Source organism: Homo sapiens, chromosome 3, assembly GCF_000001405.40.
Source record: "Homo sapiens chromosome 3, GRCh38.p14 Primary Assembly".
Classification (NCBI taxonomy): domain Eukaryota; kingdom Metazoa; phylum Chordata; class Mammalia; order Primates; family Hominidae; genus Homo; species Homo sapiens.
In genome coordinates, this window is record NC_000003.12 from 44,323,899 (window position 1) to 44,347,297 (window position 23,399).

Below are 23,399 nucleotides of genomic sequence, written 5' to 3' on the forward strand. Positions count from 1 at the left end.
TTCTAGATCTAGAAAAGCATTGTTTTTTCTGCCTTCATGCAGTAATTTGTCTTCAGCTACCATTTCTACCACTATCATGTATATAACAAATATTTGAGTGCCTACTCTGTGTCACCCCGTACCAAATGTGTCAAATATCCTAGCCACTACTACCTGAGCTGGAAGTGTTTTTCAGGTGGCCAGCTGTGATCAATGCAGCAGGTGGTAACTTTTTTTCCCCAACAAAATGGGAAAGAAAATACTAGGGTACATTACAGGTAGTAAGTTTAATTATTTGATAAAATTTTCATTTCAGTTGCATATATGCACGTATGTATACTGGGTCATTATGCAAAATGTGTTTCTTGTAGGTTATAATCAAAAGAAGTTTTGAAAGCTGAGTTTTCTTAAAAAGGGTGATCAGAAATTTAGAGGAAAGATAGAATTGTTTGTTCATAACACCTAATTTCAATTGTGTGGTTATGTTTCAACTCTTTATACTATTTACCTTCAGACTTCTAGAAACCATACACACACACATATATGTGTGTGTGTGATTTTAGTTTCTAGAATTGAAGTTAATGGGAATAATTTCATATAACTGTGCAACTGGGGGGAGATGCCATCAAAAGGTGTTTATATGCCACAGGAACAAATATAAGCTCAGACATTTAAATGAGATTTTTATAAATATTTCTATTTTTTAGTTGGAAATAAAATTTTATATTAAAGCATCTAGACTTAATCATTTACTTTAAAAATTTTTAACAACTTTATAGAAGTATAATTCAAATGCCATACAAGTCACCCATTTAAAGTATACAAGTCAGTGGTTTTACTATATCTACAGAGTTGTGTAACCATCACCATAATCAACTTTAGAATATTTTATTCATACCAGAAAGAAACCTCATATGCATTAGCAGTCACTCCTCATTCCTCCAAATCAATTCAGCCCTAGTAAGAATTACTTTTAAAGATTTTTTTAGCAGTGTGTTAAAGCAATTAATGCCTGTGTACAATACAGTACCTTTGTTATTGGAACTTTTCCTTTTATCTAATCACATATTCCTTATTTCATATGCAGTGTAACTTCTGAGACTTATGCAAGTGAGGTTACGGGATAAAGAGTATTTTTGTTTTTTAAGGAATGTACTTGAATTATAAAACCATGAATAAAAATGAGTAATTTACAGCCAAGTGAGTAATTTATAGCCACTGATCAGTCTTCAAAACATCTCATTTTCTAACAACATTGACATTAAAATTATATTGGAACTCCTTTTGGATTTATTTTCAGACATAGCTTAACCCTTGCAAGAAGAGCCTTTCAATGGTATATAATCGTGTCTAGTAGTACTTTATTTGGGACTTAACGCTGACTTTCTTCAAGGCACTGTTAAGACTTGGTGCCAGTGCCTTTGTTTTGACTTTTTTTAAACTTTTTTTGTTTTAATATTTTTATGGCTTTATTGAGATAATTTCACATATCATGAAATTAGTTCACTTAAAGTATATAATGCATTCATTTTTGGTATAGTCACAGAGTCATGCAGCCATCACCACCATTTAAGTTTAGAACATCTTCAACACCTCCAGAAAAAGAAACCTTGTACACATTAGCATTTATTCTCCATTCCCTGGTTGTCTCCTCTTCCACCCTAGTCCTAGGCAACAACTAATTTATTCTCTGTCTCCATGAATTTGCCCATTCTAGACAGATCACATAAATGGAATCATTTAATACATGTGTTTTAGTGACTGGCTTTTTTTTTTTTTTCTTGGAGACGGAGTCTCCCTCTGTCACCTAGGCTGGAGTACAGTGGCGCAATCTCGGCTCACTGCAACCTCCACCTCCCAGGTTCAAGTGATTCTCCTGCCTCAGCCTCCTGAGTAGCTGGGATTACAGGCACATATCACCATGCGCAGCTAATTTTGTATTTTTAGTAGAGATGGGGTTTCACCATGTTAGCCAGGCTGGTCTTGAACTCCCAGCCTCAGGTCATCCATCCACCTCGGCCTCCCAAAATGCTGCGATTACATGCGTGAGCCACTGCACCCAGCCATGACTGGCTTCTTATACTTAGCCTAGTGTTTTCAAATTTCAGTGTTGTAGCATGTATCAATACTTTGTTCCTTTTTATTGCTAAACAATATTCTATAAAATGGAATCTGTTTATTCATTGGTTGATGGACATTTGAGTTGTTTTCACTTTTTGGCTATTGTGAATAGTGCTACTTTGAATATTCACATAAGTTTTTATGTGTATATATGCATTCATTTCTCTTGGGAGAATTGCTGACTCATACAGTAAATCTATATTTAGCTTTTTGCCAAACTGCCAAACTGTTTCCTGAAGAAGCTGCATCATTTTATATTTATATTCCCACCAGCCGTGTACGGGATTTCCTGTTTCTTTATATCTTCACCAACACTTGTTACTGTGTTTTTTATTTTAGCTTTCCTCCTAGTGGGTGTTAAGTAATGTATCATTACAGTTTTGGTTTTCATATCCCTAATAACTAATGATGTTGAGGACCTTTTCATACAGTTATTGGTCATTCGTATATTTTCTTTTGAGAATGCCTATTAAATCTTTTGCCCTTTTTTTTTGATTGGGTTTTTTTGGTTGTAAGAGTATTCATACATACATACACATGTACATATGCATTTATATACACTCTGGATACAAATCCCTTGTCAGATATATGAATTACAAATATTTTGTCCATCCTGTGAGTTTTCTGTTACTTTCTTGATGGCTTTCCCTTGCTTTCATGCCAGACTAATCAGGAGGAGGTTGTCCAGGGACAGCAGAGTTTCCTTTCTCACGCTCCTGATTTGTTCTCCTTTGTCCTAAAAATACTGCTTTTCTCTCAGAACTGAGAAGTCAAGAGAGAGATGTTATTAGTGTATCTTTCCATTACTTTCTCCCCAAAATCAAATGTGAGTATTTTTCTTCTCACGTTTCATTTTGAGTGAAAAAAAAAATCGTATTAGTAGATTTCTAGTTAATTTTTTATTTTCTGCTTTTTAATTCTGGTAAGAAAAGTTAAATAAGAATGCATGTAAATTATACCTACCAAAAACTAGTAAAGTTAATGAGTTAACAGTTTGTTGCTCCTGGCAGTGACCTAGGGAGGTGGGAATACCTAGTGGTTAGGAATCCAAAATCTGGAGCCAGAAAGTGGGCACCCCATGCAAGCTTAGAGAGCCTGAGTGCTTACCAAAAGCCCCTCGTCTATAACATGGAAGTAATTGTACCTAATTTCAAAGGTAGCATTTTGTCAAGTTAAAATGAGGTAAAACCCATGTGTTTGTTAGCACATGTACATGGCACATAGCAGGTCTTCAAAGATTAGCCATTACCCATATTAGAAAGATTTCTTGAAGAAACTCATCCTAACAAAACAAAACATTCTAAGCAAAATTTACATACATATTTAAATTGGTTTCAGTAAAATATAATAATATAAAATTGCCTATATATAGTTTGGATGTTCTAGAAGTTTTATAGGTATTTCCCTATATATCTCTCCTAATAAGCACCTAAACAATTTAAAAGTTAAATCTCTTCTCTTGAAAAGTGAAGTTTTAAAAACATGAATTGGTGAATGTAGCTACAACACACAGATCACCTACAGGATGGAAATGTATTTTATGCCTAGTACTTAGCACAATGCCAGACATTTAGTAGCAACAGTAAATATTGCATAAACTATAATGGTACTATAAATAACTGTGCTCAAAAATAGTTATTCTGAAATTGTCTTGTGTTTACTGTGGCTTGAAATAAATGTCATTTGCCATGATAAGGCCCAAAAGTCATTTTTCAGAGTGTTTTTTTTTTAATGTTTCTCACTTTTTTTGTTTTTGTTTTTGTTGAGATGGAGTCTCACACTGTCGCCTAGGCTGGAGTACAGTGGCACAATCTCGGCTCACTGCAGCCTCTGCCTCCCAGGTTCAAGTGATTCTCCTGACTCAGCCTCCCGAGTTGCTGGGACGACAGGCACCCGCCACCACACCCAACTAATTTTTGTATTTTAGTAGGGATGGGGTTTCACCATGTTGGCCAGGCTGGTCTCAAACTACTGACCTCAAGAGATCCACCCGCCTCAGCCTCCCAAAGTGCTGGGATTACAGGCATGAGTCACCACACCCAGCCCTTCTCACTTTTTATTTAATGTTTCAAAAGCACTTTACAAAGAATAATGCCAAATATACTAGGATAAGCTATCATGTAATTTGTTAATCTACTTCTAATGTGAAGACTTATTCTGTGTAAGTAATTATCGCCTGTAGGTATTTCAGAAATCTAGGTTTTTACCTATTGGGTTTTAGTAAAGTTTGACCTATTATTTGATTTTTCAGGTGCTCTTTCCTTGGGTTGCTACCCACCATTGGAAGGAAATTTATACCGAAAACTTCTTCTAATTCCATCTTATTTATCTGAGATTGAAATGCTCTTAGCTATTGAAATCTTCATGGTATCTAATGCTAGTAGTATTCAGAGTCCTGGAACTTCTACACAGATACTGCAGATAGTTTTGAAAAGGTTGGTTGACATAACTTTAACTGCATTCTGAATGTAGATCATGACTCCCCACACCCACCCTAAGATGTAAATGTTTTATGTGTTTTTATACATACATATATATTTATGTATATATTTATATATGTACTTTATGTGTGTGTATTGCAAACTCTGATATCATTTAAACTAAGAAAGGATTAGACCTGTTTGAGGCTTAAAACCAAACAAGTTAGTAGCATTCGGTAAACACTTTAGCAACTTCAGAGATATAGTTAGATGTTCAAAGAGACGGATCCTCTTTAGGTACCAACCTTTCTTGTGTTTAGAGATCAGTACCTATAAAAATCTTTATCTCTAGTCAACTCAAAAGATCAAAGGACTAGGGTCTAAAAGGGAAATACGTGATCAGCCAAGAATACCATTGAAAATAAAGCCATCAGCCTAGTTTCTATATTTTATAATGCTATATATGCATAAATATTATAAAGTAGGTACTGTACCAGAGTGACACCCTTTCACGTAATTTTGTTTAGAATCCTAGAATTTAGGCATACAGTAGATGGTGTGCCTAAATCGTGGTATGCCATACGATTTCTTGTCAGCTTTATCCAGGAAACTTGCAATATAAGGATCTCCTGGGAATCCTGTTTTAGAGCTTCTTGACAAGAATTTTGCTTCAGTTTACTGGTGTGACAAACCAGATCCTCTGGTTGAATATTACATTAGTTATCTGTTGCTATAGAATAAATTATCCCTGGACCTAATGGCTTAAAACAGAAAATAGTATCTTAATATCTGTGGGTCAGAAATTTCAGAGAGGTTTAGCTGGATGGTCCTGGCTCGGGAATTTTCATGTGACTCAGTTTTTCCACATAGTTGGAGTCAAGATGTTGTCAGAAACTTTAGTCACCTACGTGATAGCTTGCTGGAGCTAGAGGATCCTTTTGCTAGATGGCTCACTCAAATACCTGTTGGGTGGAAGCCTCATTTCACCACATGGGCCTCTCCATAGGTTGGTTAAGTGTCTTCATGACATGACTGACAGCTAATTTCTCCCAGAATGAGTGATCCAAGAAAGAAAAAGCAAGGAGGAAGCTGCAGGGTCTTTTGTGACCTATATCAAGCAAGAACTGTGAAGAGTCTGAGATTTTACCCTATTGCAAGCTACAAGCTAACCTGCCACAGTTTCATAGATGGTAGCATAAGACACAAGACTCCTGTGTCGGAGACAGAGGACTTCATTATTTGTGGTACACCAAACAGCATGATTATCTACGTATTTGCATCATTTCCTCTTGCTCCTAAGTCCCATAGATGGGCCTACATGGATACCTACATATGCCATGAGTTCTGTAACAGGAGAGGAGTACCCAGCTTAGGAAACCCAAATATTTTATGAGTAACAGGCATGCCTGCCCTTTGCTTTGCAGGGAGGTACTGTCTCCATCATCTAAGACTGTGAGCAAACCTGCCCTTTGCTCCAGAAGAAGAAACTATCTTTATCTTTCAAGGTTGTTCACTGTATAATCCTTGTAATTTAGAACAAAGGGTAGGCAGTGACTCTTGCAAAACTTCACAAACTCAAGAGACCCATGGAGAGTTGTCATCCAACAGCCTACTATCCAAAGTTACATACTGTCACTTCTGTTCTCCTTTTTTGTAGATGAGTCTTTTGATCCAGTCCACACTTAAGGGGAGGAGAATTAGGAAGTAAATTATTTTAGTTCCACCTTCAAAAAAACCCACTAAAATTCACCTTTTTTCTTATAGTTCTTTTTTTCAGAGGGCTTCCTTATTTACCACTGTGCACTATGGTGGATAAGGCATCTAGGCTCCCCATCATCCTAATGAGGTCATGGTTTTCTCATAGCTTTCTATTCCCCACACACATGCAACTTCTTTGTTTACTTATTGAATTTGGAAGGTATTTGTAACCATAGTGCATAACTAGTGACATACCTAAATCTTTGATTTTGTCCAAACCAATATATTTTCTCTATTGTCATTATCATGCTAAGCCCTGCCTTGTTACATTTACCTCTCTCTATGAGACAGAATTTTATTCATCTTTAGACTTTTTAAGACTGCACATAGTTGGCATCTGCACCACCTACCAGATTCCCGGGCACCTCTTTCAAAGCTAGAATGTACTAGAAGGTACCTGACCAGTCTTTCCTCTCTCTGACCACTGGTTCCTGTTTCAAGTGCAAGTCCTCACTCCTGTCACTCTAGACTACACTGTGATGTTAATGCAGATAGGCTCCTACTCAGAACTTGCTGCTGGGCCTGGTAGATACCAAGAGTAGGAAGCAGTGAACACAAAGAAAAAGGTGATACTTAATGTAACAGCCACACCTCTATTTTAAATAGTTCCCATTCCCTACCCCAGAGGAAAAAACTGACATACCGTGTGAATTTTATGCAGGTCAGTGCAGTCACAATTGATTGCAGATGGCGCTGGTAGAAAAATTATTAGAAAAATTAATTCTGGCACTTAAGGAAGCACCTTAAATCAGTATTGAAGAAAATAACCAGAAATATAATAAAGCCCCTATAGCTATACAACTTGTTACCAAATATTAGCTACATATTAAGTATTTGCTTATAAGTAAAAATAGTCAATATCAAAGTAAAACTTAACATGTGAATGTTAATTCTAAACTGGATTACATTTAGTATTTTATGCATTCTCATGAATAATTGTAGTTATTCACTTTCAAAATACAAAGATTTAGGTAATTAGCTGTGTTCTAAATCAGTATTTTTCAAACTGGGTTGCAGACTATTTGTGTGGTGAAATCAATTTAGGGTGTTACAACCAGTATTATTTTTAAAATCAGGGTTTTTGTCATCAGGGTATAAGTCTTGTTTTGTCAAATTTATTTTTTATGTATGAAGGTATATACTGGGCCATAATATGTCTTTTTTTTTTGGACAGAGTCTTGCTCTATCACTCAGGCTAGAGTGCAGTGGTGCAATCATAGCTCACTGCAGCCTCAACTTCCTGGGCTCAAGGCCTCCTCCCACCTCAGCCTCCTGAGCAGCTGGGACTACAGGCGCACATCACCATACCCAGCTAGTTTTTAAATTTTTTGTAGAGATGAAGGTCTCACTGTGTTGCTCAGGCTGATCTTGAACTCCTGGCCTCAAGCGATCCCCCCAACCTGAGCGTCCAAAGCGCTGGGGTTATACCACTATGCCTGGCCAAAATGCCTTTCTTACTGTGGGTCATGATCAAAAAAGTTTGAAAGCCACTTTTAGAAGAACATGGTGAGAAGACTATCATAGCTTAGTACCAGTAAATGTAAATGACTATCTTTTGAAGAAACTATATAGCTTTTTTAAGAGTTTCTGACTTTATGAGGTGTTCATTTTATAGGTGTGAAGACAACCAGTCTCGGAGCAATGATGATTATCAAGCTGCAGTAGAAAGGTTAATTATGGCTGCTCGTATATCAGATCCAAAGCTTTTCGTTAAACACATGACTGTCAATGTTAATAAGGAACAGGTTTATAGTTTGGAACATTGTTCTGCCCTGAAATGGTTAAAAGAGAATATGAAGTGGGCTGGAAAGGTTTGGCTTTTCAGTAACCATTAGCTAATAAAGTCTGCTTTTTTTTTTTTTTTAGTTCAAGTAATCATTGTTGAAAATAAAAGGCAATAAAAATAGACAGTTTTCACTATATTCAGCTCTTTGACTTTATTGACTTACAGCAAGTTAATAGTTTTAAAGCACTAAATTTTTATTGATATGTAATTTTCATTGATTTTATTCACACAGAAAAGTGACTTTTCAGATTACTTTTTGACTTTAAAAGAAACTAAGCATGGTAAATCCCACTTTATTCTGAAATCCAAAACTGAATACTGTGCAGCATTTAGTAAGAGGGAGACATAATAGGGAAAATATGCAAGCAGGTAACTGGAGTTTTCAGGAAAACATTTAGGGGTATGAAATAGGTTTAGTGTGTACTCAGTCCAGTCTCTAAAGCTGTACTACATCTGTAATCGAGAATAATAAAACAATATTGAAAATGAACACAAAAATTCAGAATACTTTCTGAATTATACCAAAAAGTTTAAATTACCCTCTGAATAGTTTTCCTTTAGTGTATCTTGGAATACTAGATGAGTTTTGAAAATCTATGTGCATTACACTAGATAAGACACAAATATACCCAAAACTTAATTATCTAAACAAGGATTCTTCCTTCCAAACCAATTTAGGAAGTTAAAACTCTTCTGAAGTCATATTCAGAATCTGTATCACATTCTCCAAGGTGGTAATCCTCATCTTTGATACTTTAAACCGTAATTTAAAATTATTTAGATTTTAAAAAGTGTGAATAAGGTGAGTAATAAGTTGCGATTAAGGGGACTGAAAGTTTTTTTTTTTTTTTTCCTGAGAAAGGGTCGTACTCTGTGCCCAGGCTGGAGTGCAGTGGCATGATCAGGGCTCACTGCAGCCTCAACCTCCCAGGCTCAAGCAGTCCTCCCATCTCAGCCTCCCATGTAGCTGAGACTACAGGTATGCGCCACCATGCCCAGATAATTTTTGTTTTTTGGTGTTTTTTTTGTGGTTTTTTTTTTTTTTGAGATGGGGTTTTGCTATGTTTCCCAGGCTGGTCTCAAACTTCTGGACTCAAGCTGTCTGCCCACCTTGGCCTCCCAAAGTGCTGGGATTACAGGCATGGACCACCGTGCCCAGCTGGACCAAAAGTATTTCTTAAGGGAGTTCACAAAATATGGTAAATAGCAGCATCATTGGAATAAGTCTGTAACATCACAAGACTAGGAAGGTTAAATCCTAGCTCTTGCCAAAATGCCTGATTACTATCGATGAAATGTAGAACGAATACTATCACAAATGGGATATGGGGAAGTGAGGCAGGTGACGTCAAGAAGGATACCCAGTTCTTTAGTAAGAAGGAACTGGGTGACTATAACCTGCCATTACTTCAGTGGAGCACCTAGGAAATGAATTAGGTTTGGAGATCATTTTGAGGCACCTTTGAAAACAAGGGGAGAATAGAAAGTGGGCATTTGTAAATTAGTCATTTCTACAAATGATAACTGAAACCCTAAGAAAGGAATTAGAGAAATATGTGACCACTGAGATGCTGGTGGCAAAGAAGTATTAGGATGAAGATGCAGGAGGGAAAGGATGATAAATTAAGGTTTTAGGAAAAATGGGATTGGATGGAATGGTTTACAAGTGTCTGGACTGGTTTCTAATGACAAGAGCCTTATTGCTGGAACAAACAGAGGCATTTTTGCCTGTCAACAGTGCCAAAAGATGGGAAAGGAGTGTTAATCATTGCTGGGTGAGGCATCAAAGCCCCGACAACAAAAAGTGTTGGCTCTCGGGTAGTAAGAAGAATTTACTGACAACAGTATAGGTTTGAAAAGGAAGTTTCATTAGATAGATAGGAGGATGCAGAAGGATGCAGCAGGGCGCTTCAGCAAGAGAGGACTGAGCTCGCCACAGGAGATTTTTCCTTAGGAGTATTTATAGAGCTTAAAGCAGGAGCTTAAGGGTAATTTGGACCGTATTAGCCATGTAGGTAATGATAAATGATTATATTTGTAGACATTTTGGTGCCTTGATGTTAGCAAGGGTTGCACAGTGAGTTTTGACATGCATGTATTTGGAGATGTATAGAAATTCTAGTTACTTCCAAATTTGGGGGAAAGAAGCCTGGTACCAGATGCCAGGTTTTTATAATGGGGAAGTCTAATCACTTCTAAATTCCTCAGGTAAGGAGTTTTGCCTGCAGATAGTCTGCTTGATGGCCACCAGGTGATCTTTGCTCTCCTCATTTTCCCCCTGACAGATATCTTGGTCAAATATTTGACCCTTTCGAATCCCCCATGCTCCTCTGTACCTTCTGCCTATTATGGTTTCAAGAAAGGGGAAACGGCACAGTGAAGAGGGGTGTCAGGTCTGTCTGGCTACTTCTTGCTGAAAGGGAGCATTGAGGGGATAAGTCACATTTTTCCCTTTCTTGCTCTGTGTCATGAAGGGTTATGAAAAACTTACTGGGGACAGGAGACACCGGATTCCATCAAGAGGCCCCATATATGTGGAAGTTGCTGTTGCAGGCTGGTATTGGGATTACATAATCATCTGTAGGTGGAATCATTGTAATCTGGAAGATAGAAACTTAATGAGAGCATTAAAGAGGCAGGGACCAAATATTAGAGGAAGAATAATGAGGAATAAAGGTCCAAGGAATGGGAGAAACCAGGTGATTTTTGGGAACCAATTAGTAAGGATTTTGGCCCACTTTGGGTTACTTTGAGAAGGTGTGTGTAGCCATTTGGTTTGTTTGAAAATTTCTTGGACATCAGCTTCCACTTCTCCAGACACATTAATGTAGGTGCAACACATTTTGTTAATGACAGCACAGACTCCTCCTTATTCAGCTAGGAGGTAATCTGGAGCCCTTCTGATATCAACAACCATTCCTGCTAGTGAGGCTACAGACTTTTCTAGTGCTGATAGACTTGTGCTAGTTTTTGCGATTGTGAGGGAGGCAGCATGTTCACATAGTGTGATTTCATGATAAGTACAACCTCCCCAAGGGGTGAGAGTTGTGATGATTCCCACAACTCCAACAATAAGTCCTAGGGCCCTTTTTCATCTAGAATGGGATTCTAGATTGGAAGTTATGTTTAAGACAGTGATTTGGGCAGGAGCTATTGTACCCAGGGTACAATCATCATAACGAAGAGAATTATCAAGGTGGGATAGGGCCAAAGCTTGAAAAGGATTTAAATAATTAATAGCAGTGCCACAAAACCATAAGAGTTCAGGAGGGGCAGGTAATACATTTTTGAGGCTTCTTGCACTAAGGGCCACCGCTGCTAAGGCTCTTAAGCCATCCCTGGCATACTAGGTCTAAAGTTTTTTTTTAAATATGCTATAGGGGCCAGGCACAGTGGCTCACACCTGTAATGCCAGCACTTTGGGAGGCTGAGGCAGTCAGATCACGAGGTCAGGAGTTTGAGACCAGCCTGGCCAACATGGTGAAACCCTGACTCTACTAAAAATGCAAAAATTAGCTGGGCGCGGTGGTGCACACCTATAATCCCAGATACTTGGGAGGCTGAGGCAGGAGAATCACTTGAGCTTGGGAAGCAGAGGTTGCAGTGATCCAAGGTCATGCCATTGCACTCCAGCCTGAACAATAGAGTGAGACTCCATCTCAAAGAAAAAAAAATGCTATAGGGCACTTAGAGGGCCCCTCAATCTTGGGCTAAGACTCCCAAAGCTATTCCCTTTTGTTCATGTACATAGAAAAAGGCTTAGTCAGATCTGGTAGGGCTGAGGTCAGGGCTGAGATTAAAGCCTATTTTAAAGTGTTTAGAGCATGCTTCATCTCATTAGTCCAGTATAGAGACTGTTCCTGAGTTCCCTTGAGGGCTTCATATAAAGGTTTTGCTATTAACTCAAAGGAAGGAATCCATATTCTGCAAAACCCAGCCTTACCCAAAAATGACTGAAGCTGTTGTTTAGTTACCACAATTGTCACGTTTAAGATCTGTACAAGCACTACAAAGGCTTTTTCACTGGGAATTAAAATAAGACCCCAAAATTGAACCCTTTGTGTGGATATTTGTGCTTTAGAAGGAGATACTTTGTACCCACAATTAGCAAGTTTGTTGAATACTAATACTGTATTTTGGTCTGGAACAGCCTGGTTAGGACTACAGATTAGTAAGTCATCCACATACTGAAGTAGATTGCTATCTGGGAGAAGCTGCAGGGGCTCTTTTGGTGAAGTGTTAATACAGCTAGAAGGTGGGGCCTTAGCTGTAAATTAGCTTGTAATTTTGTAAATCACAACCTAATAGAACAGGGCTAAAAAGGAGTAAAGGAATAGCCTTTCATTTTACAAGGGAATGGCTGTGTGAAACAGCCTCATTGGGGTTTTCCATCAATATCCATGAGGAAAATGGAGGACTGGCACATTGGGCCATAGTAAATGTTTATAAAGCTGAATAACTGTCCCGTGTATCTATGAGTAACATTATCTGTTGTTCAGCCACAATCAGATTTGCCCTGGGATCATCCACAGAGATGGAAAAGACAGGGCCGTGGATGGCTTCAAGGCCCCATCTAGAGGATGGATGACTGACATTTCAGAGGCTTGATCATAATCCAGGAATAGAATTAGAGGTGTTTGCCCTTGCTCTCGCCCTCACCCTCACCCTCGTTCTGCAGGATCCCCTTGTCAGGTAGGTTGGTGAGACTGTGGCTGTCATAGCCTAGAAGGAAGAGGTGGCCCCCCCTTCATGAGGGAGGGACACTCATTCTTCCAATTTGCAGTGAGGACAGGGTCCCAGGGATGGCTTGCAACCTGGAGGTTTGGGACATTCTCAACTTCAGTGTCCTTAAAGGCTGCTTTTAATAAAGTACAAAAGGGAGTTTGTGGGCCTTGCTCTAATTTTTGGAGTTTTTGTCTGATGTCTGGGGAAGCCTGACTTATAAAATGTATGGCCAGAAGGGATTGGCCCTCAGGGCTTTCAGGATCTAAATCTGTATATTTATGCATGGCCTCCATTAGTCTAGCTTGGAAAAGGGAAGGGTCCTTGGTCCTGAGTGATCTCTCATAATTTAGAAAAATTAACAGGTTTTATTTCATTCCTTCCAACAAACATGTTATAATCTTCTCTTCCCCTGTCTCTGTTTGGGCTGGCATTGGCAGCGTGGTATTGCCAATTGGGTTCTGTGTTGGGGACAGCTTCTGCCCTGGCTCTATTATTAGGATTGCCAACATGAGTTTCGTCTGCCCAAACTCGAGCTAAAGACCGTGATTTTTTCTTCGTGGGAACAGCAAATAGTTAATACCACAAATGTGTCTTGCCAGGTTAAATCAAAGGCAATAAAGCCCGAAATTCTTGAATGAACTTAGAGGGATCCTGGCTAAATGAACCCAACTTGGATTGAATTTGCCAAAGTTCAGACAATGGAAAAGGGACATGAACTCAAATTGTTCCCAAATCTCCGTTTGCCACCTTGTGGAGAGGCATAACACTTGGGGGATTTTCTGAGGACTTTGTACTAGTGGCATATGTAACTCCTGTGCAAGTATGTGAGGGTAATAAAGTATCTGGATGGTAGGGGACAGGGGTTGATTGGGGCATGGAGCAGATGGCAAGGGGTGCACAATGAGTTTTGACATGCGTGCATTACGGAGATGCATAGAAATTCTAGTTACTTTTAAATTTGGAGGGAAGAAGTCTGGTACCAGATGCTGGCTTTAGGTAACAGGGAAGTCTAGTTACCTCTAAATTCCTCAGGTAAGGAGTTTCTGCCTAAGGATGGTCGGCTTCATGGCCACCAGGTGATCTTTGCTTTCAATTCTATTGGCTTGATTTCATCTGTGGCAGTTTCTGGGGGGAATCAAAATTATAGGAACAAAATAAAACTAACAGTAAAACTTTCATGCTGACTGGGGAATGCTTAACGTTTAAAAATAGGTGCTGAAGGGTCCAAAGCAAACAACACAAGCCGGAAAAGAAATGTTTAAAAGTTAGCTATATTTATACAAGGAAAACCAAAAGAAATACTTAAATGAGACTTTTAAAATTCGAGGCTCTCCACTGAGACTTGTTCCCTGGCGCCAGCTCCGGGAGTTCCGCAGAGCCTCGCCCCCTGCCAGGGCGCCCGGGGCGAAGGACCGCACGGCGCATGCGCGCCTCCTCCAGCAGTCCCTTTCCCCTTCTTCCCCAAGATCCAGCGCGTGCTCGGTTGCCCTTCTCCGTTCCTTGCAGGCCCTTGGGTCAGGACCCACCACCTGCCGGACCATCATTTTCCGAGTCCCTCCGGCCTAGTCGGAGTGCTCGCTCGCGCCTCCTAAAGCTCTCAGCCGAGCGCGCCGAGACCCCTCAGGGCGGCCGGTAAGAAGGCGGAGGGGCGGGGGCTCAAAGCGCGCGGCGAAGGTGCAGCAGTTACCAGGGTGCTGACGTCAGCTAGAGGCAGGGCACCGCGGAAGGTTGAATCCACGCCCTGGCTGTGCGCAGGCGCCGTAGGGGGAAGGCCTGGCACGCTCCAGCCAACCAGGGCGTCACCTGCAGCTCGTCCCCCTGCCCGGGCTTGCCTCGAGCGCCCTGCCGCCGCCGGAGCGGGGAGGGTGTTGGGGGCAGGTGGAGCCGGGAGGGCCCAGCTGAGAATTCAGGGTTGGGGGCTCAGAGGGCACTGCGGCTAGGAGCCCGTCAAAGCCTGTCGCCCACCGGGGCGAGGGCAGGTGGGAGCGCCTGGCCGTGCGTCGCGCGCTGGTTGGCCAGCTGACGCCCCAGTGCGCATGCGCGTCCGAACAGCCCTGCGGGCGGAGCGACTGTCCTCCCTTCTGGTGTACTGGGTGGGAGGTGGAACTAGTCGGACAAAGCCCTCGCGTCGGACCCTTGCCAGAACTGTAAGGAGCAAGAGGGGAGGGGCTCCGGTGGTGCATTCATGCTCCTCTAGGGGGGAAGCGGGGTCGGAGGGGAGTGCTCAGAGCCACCTTAGCGCAAAGTGCTAACTTTTGAATTGAGGCAGTGCCAGGGGACGCAGTATCCGCATCGCATCTACATTTTAACTCGCTGTGAAATGAGAACGCAAAGACGATTTAGGTTTTATTGTTTCCGACTTATATTTTTCCGAGGTCTTTGATTTACGGGAAATTGTTACGTACTAAATCTCATATAGCGAGATTTAGAAAAGGAAGCTACAGAATCTAGGCTAATGTATCTAATAGCATTTCCTGCTTTTGCTCTTTTTCTTTGCCTTTTTCCCCTACTCTAAGAAGTTCATATTCAACTGAAAAGCCATGAAAATTACCGCTTTTGTCCCTCCTTGATATAACAAACTGCTTTCAGAAACCGTACAAGATAGTCACTAAGGGAAGTCACAGTTCAAATGAGAGTGGCATGATATTAATTTTGTTAAAATAAATTACTTTCAAATAAAAGTTGTGCCAAATGGTCAAAGCTCAATCCTGAGAGCTCTATTTGGCACACACTCGGTGTTAGTTGAAAGTAAGCAAAACAAAACCGTTTTTCGTGTACTCTTCCATAATTTGGATTTTTCACTGATTTAGGTATCTTTCCACCAAATTTGGTTTGAAACTGCACAGATTTAATGCCTCACTTAGAACAGATTTTAGGTAAAATTAGAAATTTTCACTTTATGAAACAGAAACTAATATCACTGTTAAGTAGATTAAAGTAGTCATTTACAATGGTTTGTAAATAAATTTTATCCTTCCCGGTCCTCTGCCCTCTTCCAGGAAAGGCACCATTTCCTTAGAGAAGACCTTCCTGAGCTCTCCCCGCCCCATTCCAAGTGTTGCGTCTGGGAGTTTCTCATATTCTGTGCATGTTTGTATTATTGCATTTACTGCGTTGTTTTATACTTATCTGCTTGTGTCTGTTTTTACACTCCCCCCTCCCTCTAAAAGTCTTTTGAGTATTAGAATTGTCTTAATAATTTTCTAGTCCCAATGCTTTACGCAGGACCTGGCCCATAAGTGGTGATGAATGGGTGAGTTAAAGACTCGGTATGCCTCCCAAGTGTGATAAGACAGTGCAACCTCTTCAGTTATTTTATAGCATTTTCCAAGTGGAAGTATAGTGGGCTAAGTGCAGTATGGACAGGAACCACCTATGTAAGAATTTATCTGAAGACGAGAAGCCTGCGGTTGATGTGGATGTCCCAGACTTTTGGAGCTAGTGTCTGAATGAGAGCACCCAACTCTACTCTGAAGCAATGTGTCTTCAGTCAGCTGATAGTAATTTGATTTTCTGTGTAGCTAGTCCTGAAAGAGGAAGAACATTAGATCTGAATCTTCTAGTTGTCTTAGCAGTTATAATCTCAAAGTAAATTTACAGATTGACATTCCAGTTATCAGGCCTTCTAATTTAGCTTCCCCAAGGCCCACGTATTTCTGTCTTGAAGTGATAAAATTGGGTTCTGTTCTTACAAGGTTGAAGACTAACCCAAGATCTGGGCGTTGTGAAGCGGCAGGCAGCCATGCCTGCCAACCTGCTGGACATTGTCTCTACTTAGAATTTTGGTTTTTTTAATCTGAAAAGTACATAAACCATACAGGAAACAAAGAACTAATTCAAGCAAAAACTTGAAATCCTCCTTTGATTTTTAGCATAAATTGGGTAGCTAAAGATCCAAGTTTGTATTAAATAATTATTTTTAAAGAATTAAAGCTTAAACATTAACAGATGCCCCAGAATCCTCTTTGGTGATAGAATCAGGATTCCCTAATACAGTGGTTCTCAAACCTGAGTGTGCATCAGAATCCCTGACAGTGTGTTAAAACAGATTCCTCCATCCCACCCAGATTCTGATTCTGCAGGACTCGGATGGGACCTGATAATTTGCATTTCTCACGGATGCTGTTGCTGCTTTGAAAACCACTGCCCTAAGAGTTATTTCTTTCTCTCCTTCCTACCCTGTCCCTTTCTTCTTTTCCAAAACTGGATCCTCATCTGTCACTTAGTCGTCAGAGCCCATTCTTGAAGAGCTTACAGGAAATACTCAAAAGACTCATAGTACTCGGTTTTTCATTCTTATTCTTAAACAGAACGAGAAAATATATTTTTAATTTTTTCCAATGATTTGTATAGGAAGTGATCATCTTAGAGCAATAATTTTGTTGAATGGATAGCAGAATTATTAACTGAATATATTTTTATATATATAGGCATTTTCCTCTAGAAATATGAATTGGCTGCCATTGTGGGAGAGAGGAGAATTATTGGAAAAAGGAAAAGTCACATTCCCTCTCATTTCTCCCCTATTGCTCTCTCATTGTTTCTCCATGACCCAGAACACTGTCTTTAAAAAGTCAGTATTAATTCATAAAAAGACAATTCCCACAGCACAATATAACTTTATTATATTCACTTTAGGTTTTTATTTTGAAGAGAGAAATGCTACTTCCATCAAAACTTGTGTTTTTATTGGTTAGCAAGTGCCACCTTTGTCTTCAAATGGTAAAAGTAAACAACTAGCTATTTTTTAATTCTGATGAATTAAAAGTATTTTTCTAGAGAAAAATTTGTGAAATTATTCATCTGTACTTTTTGAATTGTATGTAGCCTTGGCAAAATTGCCTACTACCTTGTGTTTAAGACCTTCAGACATTGACTCCTTATTGTGATAATTCTGAGTTTTTCAACAAAGTTTTTCAAAATTTGTTTTTGAATAAAATGTTGTATTGAACTGCATGTTTGAGCAATATGTTATCTGACATTAGATGGAAAAAAATTATGCCATTTTTTAATACACTCTGACATAATAATAGTTGCAACTGTAATGAATTTTTTATTTACTAAATGTGGCTAAATCCCTTATGCATATTCTACTTAAGCTTCACAAAAGTTCTATGAAAAAGATAGCCCCTACTTTCATAAGTGATGTACCCCTGAAAACACATACACAAAGTCAGATGTGGGATTCCACATCCACAGTGCTTAAACATCATTATTAGGTTCTAAATTAGATTTCACCTTTTAGAAAAGTCTTATTGAATATTTCTAGCATTTTGTCTGTGTCTTTCCACCATTTTATCTTAAATGTGCTGTCCAGATAACTTCAGTGAGCATCAGATACAGACCAAATATCAATATAGATAACGTTTTCTCATTTGTATTTCATTTCGTATTCTTTATTACTAGTATTAGAATTGTAATTTTTCTTTTTTATAAAATAAAGACAAAATTCAATAAAATATTCACTAATTTCATTTACTAAATTGTACTCCTGTCTAGCAGATTAGCATTGTGTTAGCTCAAAGTATTCTCTCAGTTAATGAAAACTTAAGATTCAGAATTAAAAGGCAGTTTGGAGTGGGGACAGAATGTTTATATATATCCACATGTTTCTGCTGTAATGCCATTCTTGCATTCCTGGAAATCCTGACATGCTGCCAAACAATAAGCAAAAGTAACAGTTTGTGGAGAAAAAGCACACACCACTCAAAACTGAACAAAATTTTATAAGAGCCCTAACAAAAACCCTAACCCTAATAAACATGGTAGTAAAATTAAATCTAGTTTAGACCAGTTTCATCAAGATTAACATTCTAATCTAGGAGTAGCTTTATTTATCAATCAAATTTTTTTTTAAAAGACTTGGAAATCTCTAGCTTTTTCGTTTATCCTAGCACATTGCCAGATGGTTTGATGAAGTGGAAAATGTAGCCAGACTTGAACCCACTAAACATCTGCTTCTTAAACCAAAAGAAAGAAATACCAGGAGATTTTTTTTCCTTAAGGTCTTTACATATCACTAAAGCCTTTTTTTTTTTTTTAAATTGTAGAAAGCCTACCTCTGATCACTTCAAATCAGTAATATGTTGGGGGTAAAGTGCATATATAAGTCTTTCCCCTATTGACCAATTGCATATAAGCTGATTCACATTAAATAAACATTTTAAGGCTGGACACAGTGGCTCAGGCTTGTAATCTCAGCACTTTGGGAGGCCGAGGAAGGAGGATCAGCTGAGGTCAGGAGTTCGAGACCAGCCTGGCCAACATGGAGAAACTCCATCTCTACTAAAAATACAAAAATTCGCTGGGTGCGGTGGCAGGCGACTGTAATCCCAGCTACTCGGGAAGCTGAGGCACGAGAATCGCTTGAACCTGGGAGGCAGAGGTCGCAGTGAGCCGAGATCATGCCACTGCACTATAGCGCAGGTGACAGAGCGAGACTCTGTCTCAAAAAAAAAAAAGAAGAAATGTTTTGGTGTTACAACAGACTTTTCTTAACCATCTATGTTATTTAAGAGATGAGGAAACAGACTCCAGAAGGTAACGTAACTTGCCCTTGCTCACACAGTCACTGAAGATGTCAAGATTTGAATACAAATCTCAAGCCCCCTAGCCTCCATTTCCTAACCATTATGCAAACTACCTACTTTGACAGTCACATTCACTGGAAGTGTTTAGATCAGCACAATCCAATAAAAATAGAATGTAAGCCTTGGATATAATTTAAAATTTTCTAAAAACTAGATGTTTTACTTTTTAAAAAGTAAAAGTGAAATTAATTTTAATAAATTATAATTTCAACACATAACCAATATGAAAAATTATTACTGAGATACTTTCCATTGTTTGTACTGAATCTTTTAAATCCAGTGGGTATGTTAAGCTTAACACATCTCTATTTAGACTAACCACATTTCAAGTGCACAGTAGCTACATGTGGCTAGTGGCTGCCTACTGTTTTAGACAGCAGAGGCCTAGATTGTAATTCTATTACTCTACTGAAATGTAAACCTTTTTAGGAAATAGCTTGCTCACAAAATAAGCAGATAGAAAACACCTAATTCTCAACCTGTCATTTTTTTAGTGCTCTCTTTCTAAATCTGGAAACCATGATTTAATGTTTAGATTTGTATTTGGTAACATTTTATTTTTGTTGAGAAAATCTATTGTCACATTTCTAAGCACTAATGTCCTTTATTAGTCATTTCTCAGTAGTAGTTTAGTTATACTCTGTGATTACAAAGCGATTAGTGGATGAATGTATTTTTCTGGATAACTAAAGACCTTGAACTTTACACAAATTTTATTTTGCTTTGATTATTTTTGATGGAAATGCTTTTTTTTTTTTTTTTTTGAGAGAGTCTCACTCCATCACCCCGGTTGGAGTGCAGTGGTGCAATCTCAGCTCACTGCAAACTCCACCTCCCAGGCTCAAGGCCTCAGCCTCCCAAGTAGCTGGAATTACAGGCGTGTGTCACCACACTCAGCTAATTTTTGTATTTTTAGCAGAGATGGGGTTTTGCCATGTTGGCCAGGCTGGTCTTGAACTCCTGCCCATTTTCACCTCCCAAAGTGCTATGATTACAGGGATGAGCCACCATACCGAGCCTCAGAAATGCTTCTGAAATGCTTCTGAAATGTGCTACATAATTCCATCTTACACACAACATACTTTATCCTCCATGATTAAAAGTCATTAAGGATACTATCTTAGTCTTCAGCTGCTGTGTCAAACTATCATAAACCAGATAGCTTAAAAACAACAGAAATATATTTCTTGCGGTTCTGGAGTCTGGGAAATTCAACATCAAGATGTCTGCAGATTTGTTGTCTTGCTATAACTTCACATGGTAGGGGGCAAGATAGCCCTCTGGGGCTTTTTTCTTTTTCCTTTTTTGTAATTTTCCTTTTTTCTGATAGTTTTGATCAGAGGACAGGACTTTTTATAAGGGCACTAATGACCTTATTACTGTCACACGCGTCCGTGTGAAGAGACCACCAAACAGGCTTGGAGAGAGCAATGAAGCTTTTTATTCACCTGGGTGCAGGCGGGCTGAGTCCAAAAAGAGAGCAGAGGGAGTTAGGGGTGGGGTAGTTTTATAGGATTTGGGTAGGTAGTGGGGAAGATTACAGTCAAAGGGGATTGTTCTCTTGCGGGCAGGGGCGGGGGTCACAAGGTGCTCAGTCGGGGAGCTTCTGAGCCAGGAGAAGGAATTCAATTCACAAGGTATTGTCATCAGTTAAAGCAGGAACCGGCCATTTTCACTTCTTTTGTGATTCTTCAGTTACTTCAGGCCATCTGGATGTATACGTTCAGGCTTGGGCTCAGAGGCCTGACATTCCTGTCTTCTTACATTAATAAGAAAAATAAAATAGTGGTAAAGTGTTGGGGCCCTGAAAATTTTTGGGGGTGGTATGGAAAGATAATGGGCGACGTTTCTCAGGGCTGCTTCGAGCAGGATTGGGGCGGCGTGGGAACCTAGAGTGGGAGAGATTAAGCTGAAGGAAGATTCTGTGGTAAGAGGTGATATTGTGGGGTTGTTAGAAGGAGCATTTGTTGTATAGAATGATTGGTGATGGCCTGGATACGGTTTTGTATGAATTGAGAAACTAAACAGAAGACGCAAGGTCCAAATAAGAGAAGGAGAAAAACAGGTATTAAAGGACTTAAGAATTGGGAGGACCCAGGACATCCAACTAGAGAGTGCCCAAGGGGGTTCAGCATAATTACTTGCTTGGTTGGCAAGTTTTTGGGCTCTATCTTTGAGTTTTTTTATGTTGTCATATACCAGGCCAGATTGATTTAGGTAAAAACAACACTCTTCGTTTAATATACAGAGTCCCCTTTTTTTTTAGCAGTGACTAACGAGTCCTCCACGATTTTGGAGGAAAGAGAAATACAAAGCCAGCAATTGTTTGTTAAAGAAGGATTAGAAACGGCTAGGAGAGAGTGAGTGAGATTGATAGTGTGGTGGAGATAGCTGGGGAGAGGTAGAGGGTGGCATAAGAACGGGAACAAGAATAAGAGTGAGTATGAAAGTAAAGAATAGGACTTCATCAAGGTGAAAGTATTGGAGTGTACCCTGCCAGCAAGATCATCTATCCACTTTAAGAGAGACTTAAGGGTGGTGGTTTGAGGTAAAACCAGAAGGTATCAGTTATGATGGTTTGAAGGAAAAGTGTAAACCGGCAGTGGAAACAAGGGCAGGGCATTTATGAGTAGTTGAGAATGGTGAATAGGAGTATGACTAGACAGAAGATAGTAGGGATGACAAGTTTTTGGGGTACAGTCCAAGTTAGGCTGGTGTCTGGAATGAGACTGGGGCCTAATAAAAAGGAGCATCCATAGGAGCTCAAATGGGCTGTACCCTGTAGCGTCCCGAGGACAGGCCCGAATTCTGAGAAGGGCAAGTGGTAAAAGTATTGTCCAGTCCTTTTTAAGTTGGAGGCTGAGCTTGGCGAGGTGTGTTTTTAAAAGATCATTAGTCCGTTTTACCTTTTCCGAAGATTGAGGACGGTAAGGGGAAGGTTCTACTGAATACCAAGAACCTGAGAAACTGCTTGGGTGATTTGACTAGTAAAGGCTGGTCCATTATCGGACTGTATAGAGGTGGGAAGGCCAAACCAAGGAATTGTGTCTGACAGAAGGGAAGAAATGACCACGGTGGACTTCTCAGACCCTGTGGGAAAGGCGTCTACCCATCCAGTGAAAGTGTCTACCCAGACCAAGAGGTATTTTAGTTTCCTGACTCGGGGCATGTGAGTAAGTCAGTTTGCCAGTCCTGGGCAGGGGCAAATCCCCGAGCTTGATGTGTAGGGAAGGGAGAGGGCCTGAACAATCCCTGAGGAGTAGTAGAATAGCAGATGGAACACTGAGAAATGATTTCCTTGAGGGTAGAATGTCCATGGTGGAAAGGAAATGAGAGATTCTAAGAGGCACGCTAGCGGCTTGTAATCTACATGGAAGTTATGAGAATTGTAGGGAGTGAGTTGAGCATAGTTTGTGATTTTGAGGGCCTCTAAAAGTATTAGAGCAGCAGCAGCTGCCGCGTGCAGACATGAAGGCTAGGCTAAAACAGTAAGGTCAAGTTGTTTGGACAGAAAGGCTACAGGGCGCAGTCCTGGCTCTTGTGTAAGAATTCTGACCACAGAGCCCTGTACTTCGGCTGTGTGTAATGAAAAGGGTTGGGATGAGTTAGGGAGAGCTAGTATGGGAGCAGCTTTTAGGGCTGTTTTTTAAGGAATGGAAAGGGGAGCAGGGAAAGGATTTAGGATTTATGGTGTCAGCTAGGTTTCCTTTTGTGAGTTTATATAATGGTTTAGTCAGGATGGTAAAACTAGGTATCCAAAGGCGGAAGTACCTAACCATGCCTAGGAAGAAAAGGAGTTGTTGTTTTGTAGAAGGGGTTGGGGTTTTGGAGATTAGCCAGACACGATCAGCAGGGAGAGCACGTGTGTTTTTATGAAGAATTATGCCGAGATAGGTAACAGATGAGGAAGAAATTTGGGTTTTGGAGGACGACACGAGATATCCTTTTGATAACAGATGTTGGAGGAGCAGGAGGATGTCCTCTTGGGAAGATTTATAGGAGGGGCTATATAGTAGAAGG

At 39.9% G+C, this 23,399-nt stretch overlaps 2 protein-coding genes and 1 long non-coding RNA gene across 11 annotated transcripts in view, besides 3 other annotated features; 2 read left to right on the forward strand and 1 right to left on the reverse strand.

Moving 5' to 3' along the window:
• The window catches only part of TOPAZ1 (testis and ovary specific TOPAZ 1), a 94,804-nt gene extending 82,013 nt beyond the window's left edge, over window positions 1-12,791 (forward strand). For 2 of the 3 annotated variants that reach the window (NM_001145030.2, XM_017006361.2), the window contains 2 exons: window positions 4,352-4,535; window positions 7,894-8,200. In NM_001145030.2, coding sequence (NP_001138502.1) covers window positions 4,352-4,535; window positions 7,894-8,113 — 404 coding nt within the window. In that variant the 3' untranslated portion in view covers window positions 8,114-8,200. Of the gene's footprint in view, window positions 1-4,351; window positions 4,536-7,893; window positions 8,201-12,563 lie in introns of those variants that run through there. The other variant, XM_011533694.3, reaches the window with a different exon arrangement.
• LOC105377055 (uncharacterized) lies at window positions 793-14,220 on the reverse strand. Of its 2 annotated transcripts, none has more exons than XR_940782.4 (4): window positions 13,807-14,220; window positions 10,556-10,664; window positions 6,922-6,971; window positions 793-2,862 (listed from the first exon to the last, which is right to left on the reverse strand). It is a non-coding gene; the product is annotated as an uncharacterized LOC105377055 (long non-coding RNA). The 2 variants fall into 2 exon arrangements; XR_940783.4 differs by lacking the exon at window positions 793-2,862 and adding an exon at window positions 5,894-6,201.
• Window positions 13,881-14,534: an enhancer, noted in NCBI's record as "H3K27ac hESC enhancer chr3:44379271-44379924 (GRCh37/hg19 assembly coordinates)". NCBI's record gives its function as "activates a minimal SCP1, AML or CMV promoter by ChIP-STARR-seq in naive H9 embryonic stem cells {active_cell/tissue: H9 hESC(naive)}" and the evidence as "EXISTENCE:reporter gene assay evidence [ECO:0000049][PMID:30033119]".
• Window positions 14,219-14,388: an enhancer, noted in NCBI's record as "active region_19762". NCBI's record gives its function as "activates an Ori minimal core promoter by ATAC-STARR-seq in GM12878 lymphoblastoid cells {active_cell/tissue: GM12878}" and the evidence as "EXISTENCE:reporter gene assay evidence [ECO:0000049][PMID:35858748]".
• TCAIM (T cell activation inhibitor, mitochondrial) overlaps window positions 14,231-23,399 on the forward strand; it is a 71,320-nt gene continuing 62,151 nt past the window's right edge. For 3 of the 6 annotated variants that reach the window (NM_001282913.2, NM_001282915.2, NM_001029840.3), the window contains exon 1: window positions 14,231-14,421. The gene's annotated coding sequence lies outside the window, so the exon portion shown is untranslated. Of the gene's footprint in view, window positions 14,422-14,867; window positions 14,937-23,399 lie in introns of those variants that run through there. The other 3 variants (NM_173826.4, NM_001282914.2, NM_001029839.3) reach the window with 1 other exon arrangement.
• Window positions 14,529-14,918: a silencer, noted in NCBI's record as "silent region_14262". NCBI's record gives its function as "represses an Ori minimal core promoter by ATAC-STARR-seq in GM12878 lymphoblastoid cells {active_cell/tissue: GM12878}" and the evidence as "EXISTENCE:reporter gene assay evidence [ECO:0000049][PMID:35858748]".